This window comes from Homo sapiens, chromosome 3, assembly GCF_000001405.40.
Source record: "Homo sapiens chromosome 3, GRCh38.p14 Primary Assembly".
Classification (NCBI taxonomy): domain Eukaryota; kingdom Metazoa; phylum Chordata; class Mammalia; order Primates; family Hominidae; genus Homo; species Homo sapiens.
The window spans coordinates 168,923,175-168,930,979 of record NC_000003.12 but is presented as its reverse complement, the minus strand read 5'-3'; the positions used below and the strand labels follow the sequence as shown (position 1 = coordinate 168,930,979).

General features: G+C 38.4%; 1 annotated feature.

The window, feature by feature from the left end:
• Positions 421 to 921: an enhancer, noted in NCBI's record as "NANOG-H3K4me1 hESC enhancer chr3:168647847-168648347 (GRCh37/hg19 assembly coordinates)". NCBI's record gives its function as "activates a minimal SCP1, AML or CMV promoter by ChIP-STARR-seq in primed H9 embryonic stem cells {active_cell/tissue: H9 hESC(primed)}" and the evidence as "EXISTENCE:reporter gene assay evidence [ECO:0000049][PMID:30033119]".

Sequence of the window (7,805 nt, the reverse complement as noted above, 5' to 3'; positions counted from 1 at the left end):
AAAAGCTTTATTACTCACACAAAGCCTGTTGGTGGTCTCTTCACACGGATGCGCAAGACACCCACCATGATTCTGAGGCCTCCCAGCCATGTGGAACTGTAAGTCCAATTAAACGTCTTTTTCTTCCTAGTCTTGGGTATGTCTTTATCAGCAGCATAAAAATGGCCTAATACTGTAAACTGGTACCAATAGAGTGGGGCGTAGCTGAAAAGATACCTGAAAATGTGGAAGCGACTTTGGGACAGGGTAATAGGCAGTGGTTGGAAGAGTTTGGAGGGCTCAGAAGAAGACAGGAAAGTGTGGGAAAGTTTGGTACTTCCTAGGGACTTGTTGAATGGCTTTGACCAAAAGCCTGATAGTGACATGGAAAATAAGGTCCAGGCTGAGGTAGTTTCAGATGGAGATGAGGAACTTGCTGGAAACTGGAGCAAAGGTGACTCTTGTTATGTTTTAGCAAAGAGACTGGCAGCCTTTTTTCCTTGCCCTAGAGATTTGTGGAACCTTGAATTTGGGAGAGATGATTTAGGGTATCTGGTGGAAGAAATTTCTAAGCAGCAAAGCATTTAAGAAGTGACTTGGGTGCTATTAAAGGCATTCAGTTTTATAAGGGAAGCAGAGCATTAAAGTTTGGAAAATTTGCAGCCTGACAATATGATAGAAAAGAAAAACCCATTTTGTGGGGAAAAACTCAAGCAGGCTGCAGAAATTTGCATAAGTAACTTGGAGCTAAAGGTTAATCCCAAGACAATGGGGAAAATGTCTGCAGGGCACGTCAGAGGTTTTCACAGCAGGCCCTCCCATCACAGGCCAGGAAGCCTAGGAGGAAATGTTTAGTGGTCCAGGCCCAGGGTCCCAGTGCTGTGTGCAGCCTAGGGACTTGGTGCCCTGCGTCCCAGCTGCTCCAGCCGTGGCTGAAAGGGGCCAGTGTAGAGCTTGGGCCATGGCTTCAGAGGGTGCAAGCCCCAAGTCTTGGCAGCTTCCATGTGATGTTGAGTCTGCGAGTGCACAGAAGTCAGGAATTGAGGTTTGGGAACCTCAGTCTAGATTTCAGATGTATGGAAAATCCTGGATACCCAGGCATAAGTTTGTTGCAGGGGTGGGGCTCTCATAGAGAACCTCTGCTAGGGCAGTACAGAAGGGAAATGTGGAGTCTGAGTCCCTCCTGGGTCCCTGCTGGGCATGCCCACTTCCCGTAGGGGCCACAGAGTCCTTGCTGGGGCACCACCTAGTGAAGCTGAGAGAAAAGGGCCACCATCCTCCAGACCTCAGAATGTTAGATCCACCGATAGCTTGCATCATTCGCCTGGAAAAGCTGCAGACACTCAGTGCCAGCCCATGAAAGCAGCTGGGAGGGAGGCTGTACCCTGCAAAGCCACAGAGGCAGAGATGCCCAAGACCATAGGAACTCACCTCTTGCATCAGTGTGACCTGGATGTGAGACCTGAAGTCAAAAGAGATCATTTTGGAGCTTTAAAATTTGACTTCCCCCCTGGATTTTGGACTTGCATGGGCCCTGTAACCCCCTTTTTTGGACAATTTCTCCCAGTTGGAATGGCTGTATTTACCCAATACCTGTACCCCCATTGTATCTAGGAAGTAATTAACTTGCTTTTGATTTTACAGACTCATAGACAGAAGGGACTTGCCTTGTCTCAGATGACACATTGGACTGTGGACTTTTGGGTTAATGCTGAAATGAGTTAAGTCTTTGCGGGACTATTGGGAAGGCATGATTGTTTTTGAAATGTGAGGACATGAGACTTGGAGGGGACAGGGTGGAATGATATAGTTTGCCTCTGTGTCCCCACCCAAATCTCATCTTGAATTGTATTCCTATAATTCCCACGTGTTGTGGGAGGGACCCAGTGGGAGATAATTTGAATCATGGGGACAGTTTTCCCCATACTGTTCTTGTGGTGGTGAATAAGTCTCACAAGATCTGATGGTTTTATCAGGGGTTTCCACCTTCGCATCTTCCTCATTTTCTCTTGCTGCAGCATGTAAGAAGTGCTTTTCCCCTCCTGCCGTGATTCTGGGGCCTCCCCAGCCATGTGGAACTGTAAGTCCAATTAAACCTTTTTTTCTTCCCAGCCTCAGATATGTCTTTATCAGCAGTATGAAAATGGACTAATACAACAGTAAACTTGGTAGGAATACTTAAGATCATTTAATCTAAGTGTATTTTTACGTGTGGTGAAGCTGAATCTCCAACAGATTATGATAATTTATCATAATGCCCATGAAAATTTTAGGACAAAAAGTTGTACTAGAACATGAAGCTCCAGACTACAGGTTGATTTTTTGTTTGTTTGTTTTTCACAATATGCTGGTTTTACAGGCATTGTGAATTTAATCTAACTTTATTCATTCAACAAAGGCAATTTATTATCCGTATGCTTTTATTATAAATACATTTCCATATGTAAAAATTACTGCTTTGTCAGGCCTTTTACACAGATTTCAAAGGATCAGACTAGCTTAATATAACTATAATACACCCCTTTTGATCTTATTATTTTGCCCTGAATGTTACATTCAGCATCAAATCATTTTTGGCAGTGCTTAGAATAAAGGGGGAGTATCTTCCATGAAATATTATTTCCAGAATACATTTACCCTGGATCTTCATTCATTCATTTTCAGTTGTAATAATGAATTTCTTTCCTTATTCTCAAGGAAACAGTCGAATTGAAAAACTCTATAATCTTCTCAAGGAGTCAAATAGTTCTTCCCAATCACAATATTTACTATGGGAACACAAAATGTTTTAACTTCTATTGTCAAATGAAAGGTTTCATATTCTTGCTTATGACCCAATACTGCCCTTGGTTTATGTTTATACTCTTCCTGAGATGGAATAGAGGTTGGCGTGAGAGGGAGAAAGTCTCAAGCTTAATCCAAGATGGTAGACTATGTCACTAACTATGGGCATGCATCAAGTCAGATATTCTAGATTTTGCTTTCCAAAGCACAGAGTTGCACTCCTCATCTTTTTTTCTCAAACAAAACTGATAAAGTGGTATTATGGAAAAGTTCATGCTTCAAGGAACATAACACAGTACAGTTAATGCATCAATTTTATTCATTCAGCAAACATTTATCTAAGGCCAGCCATGTGCAAAGCACTATGCATGGTCCTGAGGAAACAACACTAGGAAAGCACAGATGATAGTTTACTTTGACATAGTTTTAAACTTGGTGGAAAAGACAAGAATTGAGTAAGAATTTAAAATGTGCTCAGTCATATAAAGAAAATTAGGGTGCTAGGAGGACTTAAAATATGATCAGAGAGTGTGTTGGTAGCATGGCTGTTTTAGTGCAGAGAAACAGAAGGCTTCTCTGAGAAAATTATGTCCAAGCTAAAATTTCCTGGATGCACAGTACTCGGGTAAGCATGTTGAGTCTAATTGAGGAAGATTATCATATTAAATTATATAGGCCTGCTTTAAGTGAGAGTTAAGTTCCTCTTGCTCTGCAAGGCAATAAACAACTTCAGAAAAAAGTCTTTAGTAAGGCTAACACTGGTGTTCAGAATGTTTTTGAAAAGTAAGGTGAAAACTTCTTACGCTGAAAATTTATTATAAACAATTAGGAACAACTCACACTAGTATTCCTTCTTCAAAAATGGAAGTAGCAATGAGAGAGTGCTTTTTACAATGATATAGTAGTTTACTGTAGCCAGCCTCTCAATGCAAATGATAAAATTGTGTGGTTGTCAGAATATTTGCTACAAAGGGGAAAAGAAAAAATCTGAGGCAGCAGTTTCTCTTAATGTGGTAATAGCCTAGTCATAAAAGAACATCCTACTTCATTGTCATGAATGTATGAATGATTCCCGTAGTTTACCATGAATATTTTTACCATTTACAAGAAAACAGCTGTTACAACTAAAAGAATGATTAGCTGCTAAGTACATAACAAGTTGCTTTTTAGGACTGCTTTCCAAAGTACCCCCATTTCACCCTTCACTTCATTTAGGTGCATGCATATTGACATAAGAGGGCATTTCCAGAATTTTCTGGATTAAGTAGAAGCAAATTCTTAAAGAAGTCCATAAGGTAAAGTTTCTGCTACTCTCAGAATTTGAGCATTTCACTGAGTTTACTCCTTCCCATTTTCAAAGAGTAAAACCCTTCTCCCACCCTCCAGAATATATCTTCAAGGTTAATGTTTAAGAATTAATTAAGCCTAACCACCTCTTAAGAGATAAGTAAGTAAATAGGCTAGTCATGATAACAAGGTTTCCAAGAGTAGACATAAAGGAATGTTAATGCATCTTTCATAATGGAAACAATAGCTTTAAAATCTTAGACTTAAAGTAACTATGGTTACAAAGCCTTGTACCGCTTTACCTTCACTTGGTTCCTTTCACTGGAGATCCACCTCTGTCATCAGGAGAGAGTCTCCTTGTGCTAATGGCTCTCAGTTTGTCATCATGAGAATATAAACATTAAATACCTTATGAACTGAGGGTGTAAATTTCTTTATCTGCTTAAGAAATGTCTTTTCAAGAAGGAAGATTTAGTCAACAAAGAAGAAAGTGTTCTCAGTTTAAGCTAACTTTTTAAATAAAAAGCATTGGCTTTCTGTTGTACCTGAAGTGTTTTGTTATCAATGATTACCAGGCCAGCTCTTCAAGTCTTTGTAGCCATCTTCCTGATGTTGACTAACTACTTTAAAAAGAATCTTTGCAGATACTTAGGGTGAAGAGGTTAAGAAGAAGGTATTATCAGAAAAGAATACTGGATTTAGGATGAATTGCTGATGACATCTTCTAAAAGAGCATTAAAGACACAGAAAATTGTTGGAACCATAACATTGGAAACAAAGCAGGACTCAAAATTATTTATATAACCTATTTTTCTAAACGATATAAAATACATAAAGAAAAGCACATGAAAATGTAAACAGCGGTTATTTCAGGGTGGGATTATGAATGATTTGGCGTAAAATACATATATTACTTACATAATTTAAAAAATTAAATTTTCCATAATAATGTACTTTAAACCACAGCCCCATGGCTTTGGCAATTACAAAAAGAACTTACTGTTTATCTTCAGAGGAGGTTGGTTAACAATATCAGAGCTATTAAAGCACTGATTTTTTTACTCAGAGAAAAAGAGTAATGAAACATGAAAGCTACCTTCAACTATTAGAACTGTCAAGTAGAGGATTGTCAAGACTAGAGGTTCTATAACGACAGCACTTGTCTTAAGAAAGACATTTCTAGCAACAAAGAAACAGACTGATACTCAAGAATTGTGGATGGCATTCAAGAAGAGGTGGGGTGGATATCAGACATATGGTAATAAAAATGATTGCTCCACTGAGTGAGAACTAAAACAGTTTGTTTTAAAAGATCCCTTTCAACCTTGGATTCTATTATACATTGCCAACATATTTGTCCCACATTCTACAGGTCAAAGGTGTTGGTTTTTCTTTTCTTCTCTACTTTTAACCCACCTGACTCCCACCTTCTTCCTGTATTGCCAGAAGGTCCTGACTTTCTGTGCAAAGAATCAATGGGGCAAATTGCCCTTGAGAACAATGCTAAAGAGTGGCAAATTGTTCGTGATAAAGTCTCTGATTTAAGTAGAATCAGAAGTGACAGAAAATAGTGACTTGTTTAATTTACCACAATGTGTTAATTATGTACAATAAGTGGTGGGGCAGGGCCCTTGACTTGAGGCTCGTGGGAGCTTCAGACAAATTACAGAGAATAAGATGGGTTCTGATTCCGACAATCCATCTAATCACCCAGACATAACCCATGCTATCCGTTCCTTCCTCCATCCCCATTATTCTCTATATTATCTCACTCAGAAATGGTCAAAACCATTCTCTGAACAATCTTCCTAAACATCCAAGTCCCCTGGTCCAGGGTATTCTTTGGGTGATCCCCAATGAGTGCGATACCCTTACCTCTCACTGACTGTGAGTAGGAAGCAAACATTTTTGTAACACCATACTTTTAGGAAACAACCAAAAAGTCCTAGAAACTTTTCTTTCAAATACCCATAACCGATTATCTTCTAACAAAAAGAACTTCATAAAGATATTTAGAATTTTAGGCAACTTAGATATTTAGAAAACCTATTCTACTCAAATGTGTAAATACTAGAGGGATAATTCAGCTGTTTGGGTATGTTTCCTTGATAATATTAAAAATGTGGATTTCTTTTACTTCACTTCTGAAATACAAACACATGCCATAGACAGGAGAACTGTAAAATCCAGTGCTTAGACCAGCTTTCTGCACTCAGCAATGAAGGGGAGGTAAAGTAACATGTTTTCTTCAACCCATCACAAGGCTCATAGCTGAGACCCCTGTAATGAAAAACAGATTAACAAAAGAAAAACATAACAAATTTATTTAACCATAGTTCTACATGACATAGAAGCTGTCAGAAATGAAGAGCCAAAAACACAGGGAAACTCTGTATTTTATGAATAGTTGTGCAGAAGAAGTATGATTGGAGGACAAAAGTGTATGATCTAATGGTAATAAACTGGAAGAAACATAGCAAGGACTGTCTGTCCAGATTCGTCTTAGCCTCTCTGAGAGGTGTGACACTTCTTCTCTTCACAGTCAGGGCAGAACACCTGTCACATTAGGGTCTTCAGGGGAGAAGGGAGGGAGGTCAGAGACTCCTGCTTCTGTGATTTTTTTCAAGTTCCTTCAACTTAAAATAGTACACTAAGGTGCCATCTTTTGGGTTATTATGTTCTGAGCCCCAACATTAAGATTGTGAAATCTGTGTGCCATTATTATTGTTGTTAATGGTATTACTATTAACAGGTGGAAAACTTATATTCTATAGTTCAGATTCAACTTATATTTATCATCTATGTGTTCCACATGATGGGCTTTTTGTTTTCATTTAAACCACTGTAACTTTGAGTGAGGAATTTTGTCCCTCTCTGTCCAGATGAATAAATGAAGTTCAAAAGATTAAGTGTGCTTGGATCACAAAACTGCCCAGAGGTAGAGTTGGGACGCAAGCTAAGGTTTCCTAAGTCCAAGACTGAGGCAAATAATTTACGAAATGCCTTCACCTGATTCATATATAATTAGCCAAACAACCTGTACTGCTTAATAATCGTAATATGAAAATGTTCACATTAACCCATAAGGTAGATAGAACATCATTATTCCCTTCCTGAGACAGATGTGTTAAACTAGTGGCCAGCACCATTCAATTGGTACAGGACGTATGTTGGATTCAAAGTCATGTTTCTGCGAAATTCTTCCTCCTGTTGTGAAGAAAAACGTTGTGAAGTATAATGATGCTCAAGGAGAACAACAAATATTAACAGTGACAAGCCCTAAATACCTCTGTTTGTCTGCAATATCTTGGCCTTTACATAACACAATTATAATTAATTATTTATCAATATAGAGGCTCTTTCTTTGCTAACCATCTAATTCCTATGGATGAGTTATATTTCAAATGATTCTATTAGTAGATTAAGAGAAAAAATTGTCAAAATTGAAGTCTTAAAATGGAGCTAGAAGATGTGGCCAAAACGGGTGAAAGAACAGGTGTCTGCCTTTATTCTACACTACTTCCGACTGGACTATGAAAGAGCAACACTCTTATTGTGGATATGTGCTAAAGAAAATAAAAAAACAAAGTTCAGTTGTTCAGTGAGTCTTATGAATATATGCAGACATGTTTACTTGTCTTGAATTGAAAATTGAATTCTAGTCTTCTTAGACTGTGAGCTATATTTTAGAAGAAGAGGCCAACAAAAGCCTACTTGTATTATCTAATCATTCTGTCTTTTGGGAGCACTCTAAT